Consider the following 21902-nt stretch of genomic DNA (forward strand, 5'->3'; position numbering starts at 1 on the left):
TATAAATAAACAAATGGAATAATAATGCATGCTCTGCCAACCTCATATATAATTAAATGCCAATGAAAATAGCCAGTACTTCTATGGCTCTTATTGTGTGCCAGGCACTGTTCTATAAATAATATATAAGAAATAAATTTACAGATGACACAGACAGTATAGAATAAAGATTAAGGTCCCAGGCTCTAGAGCCAGACTGCCTGGAAACAATCCCAGCTCCACTATTAACTAAAGGTGGGACCTTGACCATGTTTAACTTCTCTATGCCAAATTTTCAGCTATAAAATAGGGATATTAACAACACTTACCTCATAGAGCTATCGTGAGGACTGGATGAGGTAATACACATGAAGGACACAGAACAGTGCCTGTCACATAATAAACACTCAAATACCGATATCGATATTATTTGTATAGTGGTGCCATATTAACATTCACTTCTAAGAAAGGAAACCTGTAGTAGATTATGTCAGAGGATACTAATGAGCCTTAGACTTAAAGTCTGAAAATCTTGAAGTACTTATCTGATTCTTTCTACCCCAACCCCTAAATTCTATTTACCAGAATTTAGTTCCACTTAGGCATTTTTAATCTTTTATAGAACATCATTCAGCACTCAATACTTATTTTTTTCTTTTTTTCTTCAAGACAAAGTCTCGCTGTGTCGCCCAGGCTGGAGTGCAATGGTGCAATCTCAGCTCAATGCAACCTCCACCACCCGGGTTCAAGCAATTCTCCTGCCTCAGCCTCCAGAGTAGCTGGGATTACAGGCACGCACCACCACACCCAGCTAATTTTTCTATTTTTAGTAGAGACAGGGTTTCACCATGCCAGCCAGGCTGGTCTGGAACTCCTGGCCTCAAGTGATCCACCCGCCTTGGACTCCCAATGTGCTGGGATTACAGCCATGAGCCACTGCACCCAGCCTACTATTTTATTTATTTATATATTTGAAACAGGGTCTTGCTCTCTCACCCAGGCTAAAGTATAGTGGCAGGATCTTGGCTCACTACAGTCTTGAACTACTACGCTCAAAACCATCCTCCCACCTCAGCCTCCCAAGTAACTAGGACTACAGGTGCACACCACCACACCCAGCTAATTTATTTTATTTTTGTAGAGACAAGGTTTTGCCATGATGCCCAGGCTGGTCTCCAACTCCCGGCCTAAAGCAATCCTTTTGCCTCAGCCTCTCGAGTAACTGGGATTATAGGCATAAGCCATCACGCTCAGCTTCAGCACTCTATACTTAGTATTTGCATGTAACTTTTGATAAAATTTTATAAAGGCATATAATTAAAATTTCTGAAAAGGGCAAAGTTCAAATGTATTTAACTATAGTTACAAATACAGTATTTTAAATGGAACCAAGAGAAAATCTTTCACAAAACATTTTTAAAGGCCAACATCTAAGTTTAGCTCTTTTTAAGGTAACAGAATTACAAAAATTATTTTAAATATCCTAATGAAAAAACAAAAATACAGATATAAAAACTATGTTCTCACAGTATTAATTAAATATGAAATATCTATAAATAAACTCACTGGGTAGGGAATAGTTCTACAAAGTATGTAAAAGAAGAAAAAATAAATTTTTTTTAAATTACAAACACCAAATCAGCAAACAAAAATAGTTTAAGAAATTACATAAGGGAAGCCAGGCGTGGTGGCTCATGCCTGTAATCCCAGCATTTTGAGAGGTGAAGGTGGGTGGATCACGAGGTCAGGAGATCGAGACCATCCTGGCTAACACGGTGAAACCCCGTCTCTACTAAAAATACAAAAAATTAGCAGGGCGTAGCGGTGGGCGCCTGTAGTCCCAGCTACTCAGGAGGCTGAGGGAGGAGAATGGCGTGAATCCGGGAGGCAGAGCTTGCAGTGAGCCAAGATCACACCACTGCACTCCAGCCTGGGCTACAGAGTGAGACTCTGTCTCAAAAATAAATAAATAAATAAATAAAGAAAGAAAGAAAGAATAATCAGATACCCACTGACTTAAGCAATTTATACCCAAGAGACTAACAAATGTTGATTCTCAGATTTTCTGCTAAACCATAGGTTTTCAAATCCTAAATAATGTATTTGAGGCTCATCCTGAAATAATCTCCTTCAAAAGATTTAACTCTCACTCAACAACACATTTCACATATAAAATCAGTTTTCTCCATAATCTTAGACAGATTTTGCCTAGATAAATTTATTCTACTGCTAACATATCTGGGACACCTGTCCTGATGATGATTCCAAGAGCAAGACTAAAAAATGAGGGTTAATGCAAATCAATTCAAATGACGGACTTCAATTTCACAATTATTTTGTATAATGACATAAAACTGGGAATTGCTTCTTCACGAGTCTGTTAATCTGCCTTCCAATAGGATGATTTTCTATCATTTTCCCCTCCTATGTCAGTACAACTTTCCATTTTCAATAAAAACTTAAGAGACAGCATGCATGATTAAAAGCATAGACCATGGAGTATGACAGATCTAGATTTGAATCCCAGTTCTGCAAGTCAAAATTCCGATGTGTTCTTGGAAATTTCTCTGAATTTGTTTCCTTTGCCATAAAACATCAGTAGCTATTTCATATGAACTGCTGTGAGGACTAAGTTAAATAACGGTTGTAAAAATCCTTAGGACAGTTCCTGACATACAGTAAACATTCAATACATGGTAATAATAATGATCATGAATTACAAAATCTACATTCTTATCTTCTAGATTCATACCCCTCTCCTTCCTTGCCAATTCTTTAAAAATAACTGGGGGTAAAAAATCAATCATTACCGGCCGGGCGCGGTGGCTCACGCCTGTAATCCCAGCACTTTGGGAGGCCGAGGCGGGTGGATCATGAGGTCAGGAGATCGAGACCATCCTGGCTAACAAGGTGAAACCCCGTCTCTACTAAAAATACAAAAAATTAGCCGGGCGCGGTGGCGGGCGCCTGTAGTCCCAGCTACTGGGGAGGCTGAGGCAGGAGAATGGCGTGAACCCGGGAAGCGGAGCTTGCAGTGAGCCGAGATTGCGCCACTGCAGTCCGCAGTCCGGCCTGGGCGACAGAGCGAGACTCCGTCTCAAAAAAAAAAAAAAAAAAAATCAATCATTACCAAAAGCAAAAGAGATCTAGTAGGTCACTTCTTCACCTCCAGTTGTCCTCTTTCTTTCCTACACCTCAATAGCCTCAATCATTACCCATACTTAAGAGTACATACTCACTTAATTTGGGCCCAAATGTGCAAAGGGGACCAGTCCTTATTTAACACTGTTACTTAATGATGGCTCCTCCATGATGTAAAAATGATACTACATATTCATCTTTCCAACAAACTCAACACCAGAACGGACCTATGTTGTGAAAAAGGAATCAGCCAAAAGCACTATTCAGGAAGTATCCATTGGATCAAAGTTTCACTACTGAGTCAAAAATAGGAAGGTCGACTTTAAGAATAAGATGTTCCAAAATATCTAAGCTACTTTACTTCTAGGATATGCTTTCTAGAAATGCAGAAGAAAAAAGTTCACATGAAAATTTTATCAGCTCCTGGGATTTGCTTCTAATTCATTCAACAAATATTTGCTGAACACCTATGGGCAAGCACAACACTAAGCACTTGGAAACAAAGGTGACAAGATAATGTGTGGTCTCCCCTCCTGCCAACCCCCATAGAACTTATTTAAAAGCTTTCCAGTTTTTTGTCTCTCCCATTCATTTGTTAACATACTATATGTCTACAATGTGGCAGGAATGTTAGGTACTTGGGGGAGCAGGTGTTGACTAAGACAAGACTCTTGCCCTCAAAGAACTGAGAGATCAGTAGAAAAGAAAAATACAAATAAGGATGTTAAGTGCTATAAAAGCCACAGAGATACTGTGGGTAACCAGTGGAAAAAAATAACTAATTCTAGTTATATTAATCAGGACACACTTCCTAGGAGATCAATATTTAAGTAGGGTCTGAAGAGACAAATGTTTCCCAGATGAAAAGAAAAGAATATTCCAAGCAGAGGAAACAGCAAGGTGTAGAGACAAATATACATGAAAGAATATACATGTACACACACATACAAATAGACATTAAAGTACATACATGCTGTATATACATGGACACACAACCAGTGTTTGGATACAAGTGAAACAAGTCACCTGAACCACAACATACAGAAAATGATATGACTTCCCAATTCTTCCAAAGATAATACACAACCCTGTAAATAGCAGAAAAGTCAGTACATTCAAATTCCATCCTTAGGGTATTAAGGCTGAATTCTCTCCCAGAAATAAGGGGACGGTGGAAGGAGCTCTGAAGGGTAGATTGGATCTGGACTAGAAGGGATCCCAAAGGGATCCCAGCAAAGAAGAGTCAATTCAAGTGGGAATACAGAGAAAGAACAGAAGCAAGGCAATTAAGAGGCTCCTGAAATGGACAAGGAATGGTAAGGGTCCAATTTTTTTTTTTTTTTTTTTTTTTTTTTGAGACTGAGTCTCGCCCTGTCACCCAGGCTGGAGTGCAATGGCGCGATCTCAGCTCACTGCAACCTCCGTCTCCCTGGTTCAAGCGATTCTCCCTACCTCAGCCTCCCCAGTAGCTGAAATTACAGGTGCACGCCACCATGCCCAGCTAATTTTCTGTATTTTTAGTAAGGGTCCAATTTTAAACAGTAAACAGGAAAAGTGTACACAGAAAAACAAGATCCTAAGTTAAAGAGCCCTTGACTTGGTGAGTAATAAAACATATGGAAAGAGAGAGAGCTCCAAGGTTTCCCCCAATAGATCATTCCATTTACCTTGATACTTGTTTTTTAAGTGTACGTTTGACTTTATGAATACACACTACGGCACTCATATCTCATAAGCCCTCTATTCATAATACACTTTTACATGAATAGCTCGTCATAAAAAAATTAAATTAGTAAAATTCATCTGGAACCTTTTCTCAGTTTCTGAAAAAAGTGTAAGGACTTTTAGATTAATTTTGGAGTACTTTCCCTGTAACCTTAAAAAGAAATGAAACCTACTAACCTTCTTACATGTCTGTCTTTTAAAATGAATGTTAAATGAAGCCTATCCATGTCTGTGACTCATCTTTATCAATAATCAGCATGTATACAGAATCTAACTGGCAAAGTACCTTATACAAAGGAACTAAGCTGGGTTTCCCAATGTTGCTTGGCAGGGCTGGCATTCTGGACCAGGTAATTTTTTTGTTGTGGATGCTGTCCTATACCTTGTTTATACCTAACCTCTACCCACGAGATACCAGTAGCACCCTTCCCTCTCCCCACTCCCCCAAATGACCATCAGAAACATCACCAAATAGTGCCAAATGTCCCCTGGGGACCCTGTTATAGATTGTTATATACTAAGCACTGTTTCGAGCTTCTCATTTACTTCGTTTAATACTAACAAAGAAGTAACCATGAGGTGGGTAGATATCATTTTCCCCTCCTTACAGATAAAGAAACCGAGGGAGGTTAAACAACTTGCCAAAGGTCATACAACCAGTAAGTGTGGTAGCCTGTACTTGAACCCAAACAATGATGGCTCAAGTTCCTGCTCCTAATCACTGTTGAGCTCTACCACTAATGACCCAGCATTTATCATCTGACACTTGAAAAGTAGTATTTTGAATCTTATCTAGCACTAAAAACTAAAACTACCACCAAGTGACAATTGAAAGTTCACAAACTCAATTCAAGATAAATTAACAAGCATTTTTTAAGCACTGATTATATGCACAGCAGTTTCAGCAACTAGAGTGGTTCAAAGAAGAAACTAACATTTATTAAGGATCTGGCTCCAGGACCCCTTTCACACATTATCTCTTTGAGGTCTCACAACATCCCTGGGTGGTATTATCTTTTTTTCAAGAGAGTAAGCTCAAGGTCAAAATAGAAAAGTGGTCCCTGACCTAAAAACTTTCACAATTTAATTGGAGAGACCAAAAAAAACACATATTTTAAAGAAAATAAGCAAATTAAATGTATCAGTTAACAATAAATAAAGGGTAGAAAACACAAAATATGAGAAAGAAAAGTATACAGTTAGACTAGTCAGAAAATAAATCTAAAAAGATGCTTCTAGTATCCCCTCCTCTTAAGAAAATGGCATAGAAGAGCAAAAGAGGAGCAGCTGGGGAGGAGCAACATCTCTCTGAATGATGTGAAATACAAGTTTTGGGGACTGAAAGTTTTGAGATAGCCAATTTAAGTAGTAAGTCAAGGAAATGATGAAAACTATCATTTAAGGCTGCCTTAAAATTAGGATCAAGCTGAAGCTGGAGACAATAAAGCTAGTCTATGATACGCTTTTAGGGTGCCCCTACCTCCAAACACTCTCAAGCACAGCAACAGGAACAATCAAAAAGTATGTAAAGGTTAAGACTGCTAGGGTTGGTTAATGAAAGCTTAGACAAAGTCCAACAACCAAATTTCCTGAGTGACACATCATCTATTTTGTTTTGTGTATTTTGTCTCTCCTAACCAGAAAGTAAGTTTCAAGAGAGCAGGATTTTTGTTTTGCTTATTTAGATCAATTCCTGGCATAGTAGGTGTTCAGTAAATCTGAACTGAATCTGCTGCTGAATAAAGGCAGTATTCCAAATAGTAACACGTTCAGGAGCAAAGATCACCAATGTCTCAGCATTCAGAAAACCAGCACCCTCACAGAAATAACAATAACTTAATACTATAATATTTCTTATTATTGCAGCAGCTAACATTTACTGGATGCTAACTTAGGCAGACACTGTGCTAAAGGCTTACATGCATTATCTCACTCAATCCTCTTAATTACTCTATAAGGGAAACAGGTACTATTATTATCATCCCAGTTTTAAAAGAAACACACATGGAATAAATAACTTGCCTGAAATCACAAAGCAGCAGAGCTGGAACCTGGGTCTATCAACTCCAAAGCTTGCCTCTCAGCTACTATGTCACATATAGAATTATAAGCACCCCTCTCAGACAAAGCTAGCGAAATAGAGTCAATGAGGAAAAAACAACAGAACAAAAAAACTCCTCTGTAAGTCAAAAACTCTTTGGCCATCCCCTTCTCCTAGCAGGTATGGTGGAAATTTTCCCACCCTAAAATAACACTGATTATCCCATACAAACTAAACCTTCAATGGTTTAAAGAACCCAAATGTTGAAAAGCTATGAATAAAAACCAATAATCTAATCATCATTTCAAAGGGTGACAGATAACAAGTGGTAACACCTCATGTCCACAACCCAAAGAAATAACAGGGTGTGACCTCTGACTAAGACTGAACTCAAAACTTCCGGAGCCACTCTCCCTGATATCTGCCTCTTCTTTCCTCCCTCCTTTACTGCCTCTCTCCCCACCTCTGTACAACCCCACTCTCTTCTCCCGCTCATTTATTTTAAAAAAAAGGAAATTTTGTTTCCTGTCTAAATGTCTAAATCTGGTAATATAAAAGTTTAGTATTTATCCGCAGGGGGGAAAAATCCACCTGCATAACACTCAGTAGAAAAAGGCTTCCCCACTCACTGTATAAGCATTCTAGTTTATACTATCAAATTCACACAGCAGTCAATTAAGAGACCACCAATCATGCAAAAGAAAACTTACAACCCAAATATTTATTTACACAACCTTCCAGTATTACATACATAATAATCAGGAAGAAATCAAATAAACTAGAGAGAACATGCTCTTCTTCCCATCCAGGAACTCATTATAAAGTCTTTTTTGAAAAACTATGAAATGTAAAGATCCCTAGAAGCATAATCCAAATCGTTACCAATAAAGAAAAGTATTTAAAATGCTGAAATTTTTTAAACTAGAATATTCATTAATCATCTAACTAGAGAGCCACTAGCAGATAAACCCATCTAATTTCTACATTTACACCAAAATCTAAAGCAAACTTTCCTTAAAAGGAGAAGTCACAGCTAGCAAGATAATCAGTGCTAAAGAATATATTTTTTAAACTTTTATTTTAGGTTTCGGGGTACATGTAAAGGTTTCATAGGTAAACACATGTCACGAGGGTGTGCTGTACTTATTATTTCAACAACCAGGTATTAAACCCAGTACCCAATAGTTATCTTTTCTGCTCTTCTCCCTCCTCCAACCCTCCCCCTCAAGTAGACCCCAGTGTCTATTCATTTTGTTCATAAGTTCTTACCATTTAGCTCCCACTTATAAGTGAGAACACGCGGTACTTGGTTTTCTGTTCCTGCATTAGTGTGCTACGGATAATAGCCTCCAGCTTCATCCATACTCCCACAAAAGACATGATCTCCTTCTTTTTTATGGCTGCACAGTATCCCATGGTGTGTATGTACCACATTTTCTTTATCCAATCTGTCACTGATGGGCATTTAGATTGATTCCACATCTTTGCTATTGTGATTAGTGCTGTAAGGAACACGCGTGTGCATGTGTCTTTATGGTAGAATGAATTATATTCTTCTGGGTATATACCCATTAGTAATGGGATTGCTGGGTGGAATGGTAGTTCTGCTGTTAGCTCTTTAAGGAATCGCGATACTGATTTCCACAATGGTTGAACTAATTTACACTCCCACCAACAGTATATAAGTGTTCCCTTTTCTCCACAACTTCACTAGCATCTGTTATTTTTTGACTTTTTATAGTAGCCACTCTGAATAGTCTGAGATGGTATCTCATTGTGGTTTTGATTTGCGTTTCTCTAATGAGTAATATTGAGCTTTCTTTGCTTGTTGGCCACATGTAAGTCTTCTTCTGAGAAGTGTCTATTCACGTCCTTTGTCCACTTTTTAATGGGGTCGTTTTTCTCTTGTAAATTTAAGTTCTTATAGACGTTGGACAATAGACCTTTGTCAGATGCATAGTTTGCAAGTATTTTCTTCCAAGAATGTATCTCAGTCTTTTTTTCTAGCTTAGATTTTTTTCATATACCTTAAATATACAGTTCTATTCAATAAACAGCCAATGAAGGAAAGCATACCAAAACTGTTCTCAACATAGAATTTCTTTCCAAATACAAAAACAATCAAGAAGCATTTATTTATTGTATTGGCCAATAAAACACTGATTATGCCCTACTCGAAGAAAAGGTATTTCTGAAAACCAATCTTGTATTTAACAAATATTAAGCACACAAAAAAAGGAATTTTTAAAACCCACATACTAATAATTTCAGGAAAAAACAAAAACTAAAATTAAGTAGTTAAAATAGAATCATGTAAACAAAATTATTTCGATCTTAATTTGAGATGTAAATGACACAGATAAAATTTCCGTTCAACTTCTTAATGATTTTTTAAAGCTTTTTATTTCCAGGGGTTAAAGAGATGGGCAACTAAAAAGGCTGATAACTGAATTAGATCCTGCTATTTCTAAATGGGCAATTTAAACCACAGTCACTATCATAATCACTAACTATTCAAAAACGGATTCTTTTCTGGTCCATGCACTACTGAGATCTTTGAAACTAAATTCAAATTCCAGTTATGTTCAAATCAGTCTTTCTTTTCTATTAAAAAAAAGCCCAACAGTTCTGTCATTTCTTCAGTTTTTAATAAAATGTTAATGAAGTTTTAGATGTTTCTGAAAACACAGAATTACTTCAGTATTATTTGTCAAACTCAAGTGTTGAATTTAAATGTTGGGCTTAATATAAGGCCTGATTTAAATCTTCTATCTACAACACACTTTAAAACAACTTTAACTTAATAAATTAACACTGATGGGTCAAATGCTATATGCCAGGCACTGGATTAAGAGCTTTGCATGCTTTATATTATCTCATTTAATCCTAACAACCACCATGTAAAGGACACGTTTTCCTCCATCAACAGGTGATGCCACCAAAATTAAAAGGATAATAAATAGCTTGTCCAAGGCCATGAAGCCAAGAAATTATTGAATTATGAATTACTGAATGCATATTATGAATGTATTTTATTACGTAAATGAGAAGTAAACTAGCTGCCTGTTGCTGACTCCAGGTAGACCTGTTTTCAACCATTTGGTAATTATAAATTACACTTTTAGTGAAGCAACTCCTTCTCAGACCTAGAGAATGTCATGCAAAGGTATATTACCCCTCATTCACCCCCCTAAAAAGCATGCAATCCTAAAAGGCTGTTAAAAAATACACACACTCTGACCGGGCACTGTGGCCCCAGCCTGTAATCTCAACACTTTGGGAGGCCATTTCAGGAGGACTGCTTGAGTCCTGGAGTTTGAGAACCAGCCTGGGCAATATAGTGAGACCCTGTCTTTACAGAATTTTTTTTTTAAATTTGCAGGGTGTGGCAGTACACACCTATAGTCCCAGCTACTCAGCTACTCAGGAGGCTAAGGTGGGAAGATCACTTGAGCCCAGGGGGTCACGGCTGCAGTGAGCAAGGATCACACCACTGCCCTCCAGCCTGGTGACAACAAGCAACCCTGTCTCTAAAAAAAATAATTTTATACAAACCACACACACTCTCATAAGCATTGACTAGATCAGGAATTTTTGTTAAAAATTTAAAAATTATATACACACACACACACACACACACACACACACACACACATATATATACACACACACATACATTCTTCCAAAAACAAACCAACAATTTGCCTTGAGACTTCACATTTGGAACTGATAATAAACATTGACGGGTTCGTTTAAGATGCTGTGAGATGAAAACGCCAAAGCCAGAGGATGTGATCCTCTCAGAGAAAAGGCTAAATAATATTAAAAATATTTTGTAGTCTTTTAATATTTCCTAAATTCCAGAGCAGTCATGCAGAAATGAACATCTAACACAATACACTAGGTACAGGTACACAGACAGACAGAAACACACAGAGAGAGAGAGGAAAAAAACATGCTATCTCTTTCTTACAGCCAGATTTCCAGTAGCTATCTTCCAGATAGAAAGAAAGGGCAAAGGTGACACAGCATAGCAACAGAAACTGCACAGTATCTGACTGATCCACTAGCTGTCCCTTAGGTCTGATGGGGGAAGAGCAGAAGATACTCAAGCAATAAGGTCTCTTGTGCATTTCTGTTTGTTTCTGATTTTCAACTACGTGCATGGCAGGATAATACAAGACGAACACTGGCTCTCATATTTTCTTCTTATAAGCCTTCTGCTTTACAGAAATCAAGTGTTAACTCAAAAATTGTAAAAGAACACCTCAGAAAAATTTAGTTAAATGTTAAGTTTGTCATTCCAATATCCAGATCAAGTGCTCAAACTGCAGATGCTCCCTCAAATGTTTCACAATTCTTAAGTTGTAATAGGAAGAAATTTTTAAAGATACTTGCATGTAAAAATATAATTACTAGAAGATATATATCCCATAGTGTTCAGAAAATGTCACGTACTTTGAGAAAATACATTCCATTTAAACATACTGTGAAAGGTATCATGAGGAAGTACCAAGGAGGTATCATCAGAAAGCAGCAAAAACATAAAAGTACATTAAGACATAAAACAGGATATTAAGTGATATTAAAAATATTTTGTAAGGTCTTTTAATATTGCCTAAATTCCAGAGCAGTCATGCAGAAATGAACATCTAGCACAATACGCTAGGTATATCTACACATACATACTTTGTGTGTGTGTGTGTGTGTGTACATTTTCCCCCATTATACTTAATGGGGGAAAGTCTAAGAACAGGACAAATTAACAGCAAGAATTCATTATTTAACAGCAACTTTACTCATCTTTTTGTAATGACAATTCAGTTACACTAAAAACATACACATTTTTCCCTGGTCCACTCAAAGTATCAACAAACTGGAATAATTTCTGTTTGGAGTATTTGCAGATAGAAGATGCACACCTTGTGTCTTTTAAATTGCCACTCATCCTTAGGCTTGGGACAATGATAAAATTACTTGAAAAGACAAAAATTAAAAGATTTTTTAAAATAATAAGGAAATAATCCTTTCCAAATAAATAGGGAAAGCAACTTTATAGTGACCTTCTAAAAGATGTACTAACATTGTCAGATTATATACTCTTTTTTTAAAAGGAAGAAGAAAAATTAAAAAGTAAATTGTTAGTTCAATTTAAGTAACAATATGTAGAAATACTACATATAAACTAAAAGCAGGTTTCAAACTAACTAAAAAGTGATCATTATTGCAAGAGTAATCTCCACCCCTGCCATAAACAAGGGAATCCTAAAATAAATAGGATTTATGAAACTAAATATACCATCATCCAATGTTGGTATCTGCTGACATATGAAACAAATATTTTAATATTAACTGTAATGTAAAATTGCACAAAGTGAATTACACTTTCTGAACAACACATGTGAGAAAGATTCACTCTTAAAAATATAGCAATGCTGGCCAGGTGTGGTGGCTCACGCCTGCAATCCCAGCACTGAGGGAGGTCGAGGTAGATGGATTACCTGAGCTCAGGAGTTAAGAGACCAGCCTGGGCAACATGATGCATGGCCTTTGGGGTTACCTGGTGGGTGCTAAAACACACACACATATACCCTCGAGGCTCTCTAATTCCCTATCAATCCAAAAGTTGTTACCCATCTCTATCAAAAATACAAAAAAATTAGTCGGGCATGGTGGCGCATGCCTGTGATCCCAGCCACTCGAGAGGCTGAGGTAGGAGGATGACTTGAGCCCAGGAGGTGGAGGTTGCAGTGAGCTGAGATCACACCACAGCACTCCAGCCTGGGTGACAGAATGAGACCCCGTCACAAAAAAAAAAAAAATACACACACACACACACACACACACACACACACGTGTATATATATACGTGTACATATATATATATACGTATATATATGTATATACATCAAAGCTTTTTAAAGTACACATTTAAATGATTTAAGTGATTTGTTAATATACACTAGTACTTGAAATTAACAAAACAAAAATTGCGATGTGTAATTCTACACACTGAATTAGCCACTGCAAGAGATTAAGACTTTAATAGATAGCAGTATCAAACTTTAATGCTCTTATAATTTGACTCATATTATTCAAACCAACCATAGACACTTCTAATTTTACACACGAAGTAAATGCTTTACATTTATTTTCAGAAGGTTTCAAAAGTATGCCCACAAGCTTCTTTACAGATACTTTTGGCCATGATACAAAGCCAGTATATCACTAAATGCCAACTGTGGTTATCTTTAGATAAGAAATGCAGGTAGTCCCTACTTTTTAGCTGCATCCCTTTAAAGATGGTATCACCCCGACCCTCAATCCATAGTTTTCATCACCATGAAGGCAAAAGTATTTTGTACAGTAGAGTATGTGCTTTATGCAGAATCATTTTAAATGAACTCAGAGAAAAACATCTCATCTAGAAAACAAAGACCACCAAAAATAGCCAGTCCTGGCTTTGTAGTGTAATAAAGCTCATACTGTTTGTTGGTGGATTTGGCAGTTGTCTATACCAGGAGTCCAAAAACTTCGGCCTATGGGCCAATTGGAGCACGGCAACATTCATTCACTTCCTTGTTGTCTACAGCTGCTTTCACACTATAAGAACAGAATTGAAAGTTGTGACAGATCATGTGGCCTGTAAAACCTAAAATATTTACTAACTGGCCCTTTACAAAAATAGTTTGCCAACTCTTTCTCTACACAATGAGATGTCAGAAGCACCAGAAGACTTCTCCAAGAACCATCTCCAAAGTACAATGAAATGAGCCTATGCATGGCCTTTGGGGTCATCTGGTGGGTGCTAAAACACACACACACACACAAACATATACCCTCAAGGCTCTCTAATTCCCTATCAATCCAAAAGTTGCCAAGGCAAAGTACATGAAGTTACCACTCTTCCCACTGTCCTCACTAGTAAATAACATTAACTATAAGTGGCTGCCTTCTAAAATTCATCTGAACATGGCTTCGACTGCACAAAAAATGTTGTGGAAAGTGGAGGATGACAAGAGAAGGCCTCCATATGGCATATAATCCAATCCCTATATTTTCACCCTAGAATCACCTTAGACCTATCTCCTTGTTGAAACATCTCTTCCCCAGAGTTTCTGCCATTTGAATAATCACTGTTAAGAAGTCAGAGAAGCTACTAGGAAGGTGCAGAATTCCAACTAAGGAACACAAAAAAGTGTGAATATATATTTCCTTCCTCACAATCCTTAATCCTGTTAAAGTCAATACTAAATGCAAGCCGCAAAAATGTCTACATTTTTTTAAATGCCAAGTTGCTTTTTTTTAATAAAAAGTTTAAAAGGAAAAAAAAAAAAAAAGCATGTTCAGCACTACTGTGCCTACACAGGGATATCCCCTCCATTGTATGGGACACAAAGACACACACCAACTGTGAACAAGGGAAGCAGCCTTCTCTGTCAGCTATTTTTGGCCTCACTTCGTCATATCAAGACCAAACGTAGGATAATAATGCACAGTGAACTTTAAAACATGAATTTGAGGAAACAAATCTGTCCTTCTATTTATAAATTCCTTAACAATGAAATTATTATTAAGTATACTCTTCTGAACTTAATCTCAAGGGACCTATATACCCTATTTAAAAAAAAAAAAAAATTTTAGCTTGTTTCAAAAATACAGAATAATATACCCTGGGACTAAACTGGTGGCCATGTTTAAAGCCTGCTCATTCCTTTTTAACTTCAACTCTTATCCACTTCTAAAACATCTATTTTAGGTAGTGTCTCATTCATTCAGATTTTCCCCCTAACTAAAAATACCCACTTTTCAGCTCTTCACTTTCCATCAGTACTCTGGGAAACCTAAATACTTTGAAAATAATTCCAACTTTACATTTTCAGTATATTACCTGCTAAACTATTTTGCTGTTTTGAAACTGCACCAGTATCCAATTGTTGCCCTAAAATTTCACATCCAAAGCAAAGTCTACTGTCCCATTTCTAAACTCTTTTTTGTAAGAAGCCACTTTCAACACACTAAGCATCTTCTTTTTCACTCCTCCTTCTGTATAGCCCTGGATAGCCACGATATAATAAAAATGTTGGTTCCCTAGAAAAACAAAATCCTAATCCAGGCATACAGCTTTTACCTAAAATGTAATTTCTCCCCAGTCATCTGAAATTACTCTCAGGAACACTCTTCTCAGTTGCTTCTTTGAACTGTAATCATGTGTCTACACAAACACAACTGACCCTAACACTACTCAACAACCTCTATCTGTATTCCCTTCAAACCAGCTTCGTAATTTTATCTGTCCCTTATGCCTTTCAATTCCAAAAGTCTTAAATATTGTGTCTCCACTTGCTCTTTTCTTCCTAAAAGAAACCTTCCCAGATTTGGCTTCAATACTTCAATTAGTTCTATATGTACACGTCCAAAAGCAACATTTCCCTAGTGAAAAATGTAAAAATATATTCACATCTATAAGTTGACAATATCTAACATCCAGTGCGGTCTTAGATAAATATTGGTCTATCCCCCCTCTCCTATAGCTTTGTGCAATTTGTGTTTGATTGTCTCCACCACCTACAAGTAAAAGCATCTCAAAGGCAGGGACCCCAAAAACTTTGTCATTTCTACCCAAACGTGCAATAAAACATTACCATAATTTTTTGGCAGGACGCGGTGTCTCAACGCCTGTAATCCCAGCACTTTGGGAGGCCGAGGTGGGCAGATCATTTGAGGTCAGGAGTTCTAGACCAGCCTGACCCACATGGTGAAACCCCATCTCTACTAAAAATACAAAAAAAATTAGCCAGGCGTGGTAGCACATGCCTGTAGTCCCAGCTATTTGGGAGGCTGAGGCATGAGAATCGCTTGAACCTGGGAGGCGGAGGTTGCAGTGAGCCAAGATCGCTCCATTGCACTCCAGCCTGGGTGACAGAGCAAGACTCTGTCTCAAAAAAAAAAAAAATACCGTAATTTTTAACCAATCCATAAGCAATAAAAGTAGGTCCTAAAGTTAGTAAGCAACTTTGACAGAGTGCAACCTACATTCAAACTATAGTTTGTTTCTTAGTTTGTCCTCCCCTCCTTCCCAAAATACAGCTTCTACTGTATTTTGGGTACAGTATTTTAGAAAATGACTACATTTCTCTTTGCAATATCTTAGTGAAAAACAGAATACGTGACTCTGATTCTAACATTACATCCACTATTCAGTATTTTCATGTCAGTACACATTTAAAGGACAGAATTTAAAGTTCCTTACCAAAGCATAACAAGGCAACTAAAGAAAAACAATTCAGTGGGAGAAGTTCCAGAGGAGGGAAAAGTGGTCAAATGAAAGACATTATTCTAAGACAACAGTTGGAGAAACTGATGGTAGAAATAATGAAAGTCCATAAAATTAAGAAAAGATGAACTGAGGCTTGTCCTGATAATTCTTGAAACACAAACTCTGACTGTGTCCTGAAAGTTTAGGGACACAGGTATGGAATATGTAAATGAACTGTCACATAATACACAGGCTAATAAACTTGCAGAACTCATTACTTTAAAAAAAAGGACCAAACATTGTTAAGTTTGAGAAAGTTTTAAATTAATCTAATCAAGATCCTGAATGGAGAACTTCGAAAAGAGAGATAACCCCAGGCTTACATTCATTCCCACAAAGTATCTCTCAGCAGTGGCTTCAGACAGAACGAGCCCACAGTTGTCTAGACGGACCACAATTCTCAGTATACTACTGTCTATGTCTTCTTACATAAAATTCTGCTCTATGTTTAACCCTTAAGGTCTGTATATGAAATATTAATTACTTTCATAAACCTTTAATTTGGTACTCTGACAAGATACCTAAAATACAAGTCAAAGGTTTTATAAACTTCAGCTTTAAAATAATGGAAGGAAAAAATCATTCCTGACTTAAATATCAAAGATGTATCCTAAATTGATACAGAAATAAAGATAATTCAAAAAAGCAAAGCCTCAAACCAAATAAAAAAGTGCTGTAATTTGTTACTCTAAAAAAAAAAAGGGGGGGGTGAAAGGGAAAAAATCACAACTTTTATAAAATGATTAATGTGATAAATGCTCTTCCCCAAGTAAGTTGTGATTCCTAACAACTCAAGTTCCTGAGTAACTGACATCTGTTACAGTGTCCTCCTGACACACATGAAATTGGACCCAGTAACTGAGAAGGTTAACTCCTGTACCAATAGGTACTGAAATGAACCTCTCTCAAAACAGGTTTGTTGTTGTTTTTTAAAAAAGGAATTTTACTTTCAGGGGTCCACAGGTTAAGTAGTTCTCATTCGGGAACCTATATGAGAGTACCCCCGAAACAAAAAGTACACCGCACACACCCACAGTACCAGGAAAAGGTTACAGATACAGATGGCCTCTGTGCGCACATATGCTCTGGCTTCCTCAATTTCCCTTTGCCAACTGCTGGCCAGAAAGGTGCGAGTATTCACTTTGGAGAAAAGACTCCTCCGACAGAAACCTGCATACTTGCATTACTCGTACAAAGAGCTAAAAAGTTACAAAATACAGGCCTCCCTAACACCTTCCCCCCTCCGTGAATAAAGCTAGACTCCCTCATTGATAGACTCCCAACACTACTGGAGAACATCAGCAAAACTCCAGGAGGAAGCGCCGGCATCCTCCCACTTTCTCCCCCTCAATTCCCTCTCCCGGGGCCACTCACACTTTTAGAAAAGAGCCGCGGCGCCGAGAAAGTGGGTTGGTTCCCTTCCTCCTTCGGACTGAAGCGGCAGCTGCGGAAGGCTCCGGCGCGGTACTGAGGAAGAAGCGGTGCTCGTGTCGCTAAACCAGGCGGCAACCCGGGTCTCTTCCGCGCTGCCAGGGGAGGGGAGGCGGCGGCCCCGCTTACCTCCTCTTTTCCTCTTCCTGGGTCTTTTCAGGCTGCGGCTTCTGCCCGTCCAGGGCCACTTCTCCCGGGACAGTCAGGTTTGGGAGACTCCGGATTTTGTTTTTGTAAAGTTTCCTCTGGGTGGAGGCTGCGGCCGGCCCCCCGGGTCCCCCCCGGCCCCGCCGCCCTCGGGACTGGGGCGGGGGAGGGGGGCTCTAGGAACTCCTCCCGGAGTCCAGCCAAGGAGCCGGGGGGCCGGCGACTGGCCAAGGGAGAAGACCCCCGGAGGGGGCTGAGGGGAGGGGGAAGGTGAGGAAAGGACGGCGGCGTCGGTCCTGTTCTCTCCGCCGCCCCAGCCGCCGCTTCACATCGGGGTCCCCGCCCCCCCGGCCGGGGGGTGGTTGCCGAGCTTGGTTGGGGCCCCGGTTCATACACTCCGGGGCAAGATGCTACGGCCCCGGGCGGGTGGCCGAGTCGGCGGCAAGGCGAGGGACCCGGCCGGCTCCGCTCGGCGCCGCCCCCGCTCCCGGCTCCCGCATGTGTCGCTGCGGCTGGGACCCCCCTCCCTACACCTTGGGGGTCTCGCCCCACGCCCCACGGGACGAGGCAGAAGCTCTGGCGCCTCCTCAGCGTTCTCTCACCGCGGAGCAGCTACCCACTCCCGGCCCGTGGTAGCCGCCTCCCTGCCCCCCAAGCCGCCGGCTCCGGCTCAGGCTCGGGCTCCGGCTCTGGCTCCGGCTCCGGCGTGTGCAGCCGCCGCTGCCGGCCGGGAAGGTGAGGGGGGGAAAGGAGTGCGGCCGCGGCTCCCGCTGGCCCAGGTGAGAGCGAAGGTCTCGGCGGCGGCCAGTGCAGGGGGACTGGATCTCTCGGATGCTCCTTCGCTCTCAGTCTCAGCGGCGGCGGCGGCGGCAGCGGCAGCGGCAGCGCCCGGAGCTCAGCTCGCTGTCTCCCTCGCTCTGTGCGGGGCTCTCGCCTCACTCCAGAGAGAGGGGCGGGAGGAGAGCGGCGCCTGCCGATGACGCAAGTCACCTAGCAACCGCTCTCTTCCCCCTCCCTCTTCTTTCCGCTCTGAGGCTTCCTCCGCTGGCCTTTTTCCCCCTTCCAGCCACCCCGCCCTGGGCGCCTCTGGCGCGCTCTGATGACGCTCCAAGGGAAGAGGAAGTGGGGATCGGCGAGCGGGTGGGTGCGCCTCGGGCCGCGGGACTCGCAGCCGCCACCGCCGCTGCCGCCTCTACGGCCGCGTCAGAACTGAAGAGAGGAAGGGGAGGAGCCGAGTCGAGCCTAAGCTGCCGCCCGATCTTACCCCTGACCCGAGGGCGGCCTGGAGAGCTTGGTCTGTAGCGGTTTCCTTCGGGGCAGGTGGGGACTGCTCCTTTGGGAGGAAGGAGGAGGCCCAGGCCGCGTCTTCAGGCAGCTGCGCGCACCACCCGAAGGTGAGGCATTTGGCCCCAAACAGACCCTCGAAAAGCCGGACTGATCGAGGAGTTACCCTACAGCCTGATCTGCACCTGCTCCAGGGAGAGAGCGCCCCACCCTTCCCGTGGCGTGGGGTGAGACCCAGCGTTGGATAACGTGTGGTCGGGCCGAGCAAATGTTTGATGAATGAATGAATGAATGAATGCCTCTCTCACGTGGCACTCGTGAAGCTCAGAGGATATGGTGGAAGTGCAAGCGCTTTGTAAACTGCAGTGCATTGTAAAAATGAGTTGTAATACATTCCTCCCCTCCCCCTAGCCATGAAAGGAAACAGGGGTGCGGCTTGAGTACAGAGTCACAACCTGAGTCTTTAGTGGAAAAGGAGACGAAATGCCGAGCAAGGGAAGGGACCCATCCTCGCGCAGATTGTTAGGGCGGCGGGAAGGGAGGATTGGAAGGGAGCCATCCTCTGGGAGATTGCTGAAGGATTTTTGACTGTCAGGGGAAGAATTTAATAGTCCCTCACTTTTACGAATGGTTCTTTCTTACGGTTTGGAGCTTTCGAGAGCTTCTGGTCTTGGTTCATCAGTGTACGTTGTCATCAAGAAATGTTGGCCTGTTTCAGGTCTGACTCAAAGGTTATTTTCTTTCTAAAATAAGTGTTATTACTATTATGCAGCTTTTCCTACAGATGTTATCCTGGAAAGGAAAGTTAAGTAGAAACTCATGAAGTTTAAAGTGTAGTTCTCTAGGAAAACAAATTTAAGATAAAAGGACCAGAATCCTCAGAAATCTGTCTTCAGTGAATAGTATGAGAAAAAGATTAAAGCAGCAGCAATGATGAAAGCAGATTCCACAATTCTGTCCCTGGACCCTAGTACACTCTACCTCCTTGGGAAGCAGTAGTAATGGATTTTACAAGTCTTTCCACCTGGAGGAGGGGGTAAGGTAGGAGCAAGTGTATTATAGACAAATGTGGGAAGCTCTGGGTTTCTCCCACTACTGCCACTACCATCTGCAAACAGTAAACTAAGGAAACTTTTAACTGGGTAAATCCAAGGGCTCGTGTTCATTAAAATGCTGCGGGAAAGGTGGTGAGAGGGGCAAAGGAGGATGTGGCAAAACCAAGGAGAGACTCACAGACTAGCACCTGACCCTACTGCCCTTGACCTGAAGTTCCAAGAGCCAGGTTAAATATCCTGCTTAAATTACCCTGGATTTTTCTGTCTTTACGTGACCAATCCCCTGCTACAGCCTTCCAAATAAGACTCACAGGTAATCAGACCAACAAGTGATGGTCTCACATGGCTACAAAATAAATATTTTTTGTTTTTCCCCCTCTTCCTATCTTACAACAGGGGAATGGTGGAAATTAAAGGAGTAAAACACACAGATTTAGGGGATTTTGTGAAGCTAAACACCTCAGAGAGTTTAACCTTTGTAGGCTTTGAAGGAAAAGAGTGCAAACATCAGAGTTCTGCAGCCCAGCAGAGAACACCTCCAGTTAAGTGTGTACCACATAGGGTTTTTCAGCAGCGTGATCTTCTGTTTTCATTGTCAGTGGCTCCACCTTACAACCTCAGTGCTGAGGAACAGAAGGGCACTCAGGAGAGCCTGAGCCACTTACTTAGAAAGTATTTAATAACAGCACACTAAGCTTACTGGGCTAGATACCCACCTCAGCACCCAGCTTGATAACAGGAGGAAACAGCTGGAACTGGAGACTGGAGAGAAGGAAGTTCATACATTTCCAACTTGGTCTGCATCTCTTTAGTTCCTTGTATTGCTTATTAATCCAGAGGAGAAAACAGCTAGTTAATTAAAAATTCCAAAAAATCTGAAGTTTTAGCTAATAGTTACTTCCCTGGTTCATCAATTTAAGATAAGGATCTAAATACTGTGTTAAAATATAGAAAAACGGAGACTCTTATAAGGTTTTTGACCTCTACACTTGAAAGTGAGCTCTTACAAGAAACTAATCAGTGTTTCGTTATTCCATATCAGTGGCTTTTACTGTCAAAGATTGTGTAAGCTAAATTATCTGGCAAAATTTTGCTTTCCAGAAATACTATCTATATTAATTTTAACATTTTTATTGTGAAATATAGTTTAAATACATAAAGCAATTATATAGTATAAGTGATTATAAAGGAAACCACCATGTAACCAATCAACCAGGTCAAGAAATGGAATATTTCCAGCAACTCAGAAGTTCCCCTCCCTGCCATGACCTTCCCGAACACAACTCTTTCCCTCCCTCCTAAGTGTAGTCATTATTCTAACATTTGTGATAATCATTTCCCTGCTTTTCTTTGTCGCTTTGTCGCAAGCATGCATCCCTAAACAATATATTGTTTAGTCTCACTCTTTCTTTTGAACTTTATGTAACTGGAACAATATAATATGTAATCTGTTGTTCTTGCTGCTTTTGCTCAACATTGTTTTTAATTCATATGTTGTTCAGGTTGTTCCTATAGCTGTAATTTGTGCATTTTCATTGCTGCATATTACAGTGTCCCATTATAACAATATGTGACAATATGTTTAGCCATTCTATTGCTGATGGACATCTGGGTTGTTTCCAGTTTAGGATTGTTATAAATGCTAATGTGAACATTCTTCATATATGTATTCCATCACATCTACGTCAGTTTCTGTATAACATATACCTGGGAGTGTAATATGTATCATAAACTTGAATAAATAATGCCAAGTTCTTTTCTAGAGGGTTACACAGTCACA

At 40.3% G+C, this 21902-nt stretch overlaps 1 protein-coding gene, 1 long non-coding RNA gene and 1 other non-coding gene across 15 annotated transcripts in view, besides 5 other annotated features; 2 read left to right on the forward strand and 1 right to left on the reverse strand.

The window, feature by feature from the left end:
• The window catches only part of FBXW7 (F-box and WD repeat domain containing 7), a 215549-nt gene extending 196818 nt beyond the window's left edge, over nucleotides 1–18731 (reverse strand). For 5 of the 13 annotated variants that reach the window (XM_011532084.3, XM_011532087.3, NM_001349798.2 and 2 more), the window contains exons 1-2: nucleotides 17766–18731; nucleotides 17580–17672 (exon numbers count right to left, since the gene is read on the reverse strand). The gene's annotated coding sequence lies outside the window, so the exon portion shown is untranslated. Of the gene's footprint in view, nucleotides 13490–17579; nucleotides 17673–17765 lie in introns of those variants that run through there. The other 8 variants (XM_011532085.3, XM_047415900.1, XM_047415902.1 and 5 more) reach the window with 4 other exon arrangements.
• Nucleotides 17077–17176: an enhancer, noted in NCBI's record as "active region_22032". NCBI's record gives its function as "activates an Ori minimal core promoter by ATAC-STARR-seq in GM12878 lymphoblastoid cells {active_cell/tissue: GM12878}" and the evidence as "EXISTENCE:reporter gene assay evidence [ECO:0000049][PMID:35858748]".
• Nucleotides 17767–18556: a silencer, noted in NCBI's record as "silent region_15751". NCBI's record gives its function as "represses an Ori minimal core promoter by ATAC-STARR-seq in GM12878 lymphoblastoid cells {active_cell/tissue: GM12878}" and the evidence as "EXISTENCE:reporter gene assay evidence [ECO:0000049][PMID:35858748]".
• Nucleotides 17767–19026: a biological region, named in NCBI's record as "H3K27ac hESC enhancer GRCh37_chr4:153456939-153457474".
• Nucleotides 18426–18961: an enhancer, noted in NCBI's record as "H3K27ac hESC enhancer chr4:153456939-153457474 (GRCh37/hg19 assembly coordinates)". NCBI's record gives its function as "activates a minimal SCP1, AML or CMV promoter by ChIP-STARR-seq in primed H9 embryonic stem cells {active_cell/tissue: H9 hESC(primed)}" and the evidence as "EXISTENCE:reporter gene assay evidence [ECO:0000049][PMID:30033119]".
• Nucleotides 18667–19026: an enhancer, noted in NCBI's record as "active region_22033". NCBI's record gives its function as "activates an Ori minimal core promoter by ATAC-STARR-seq in GM12878 lymphoblastoid cells {active_cell/tissue: GM12878}" and the evidence as "EXISTENCE:reporter gene assay evidence [ECO:0000049][PMID:35858748]".
• On the forward strand, nucleotides 18903–21902 carry MIR4453HG (MIR4453 host gene). The gene has a single exon (NR_033797.2). It is a non-coding gene; the product is annotated as an MIR4453 host gene (long non-coding RNA).
• MIR4453 (microRNA 4453) lies at nucleotides 19067–19155 on the forward strand. The gene has a single exon (NR_039658.1). It is a non-coding gene; the product is annotated as a microRNA 4453 (primary transcript).

This window comes from Homo sapiens, chromosome 4 (assembly GCF_000001405.40).
Source record: "Homo sapiens chromosome 4, GRCh38.p14 Primary Assembly".
Taxonomy (NCBI): domain Eukaryota; kingdom Metazoa; phylum Chordata; class Mammalia; order Primates; family Hominidae; genus Homo; species Homo sapiens.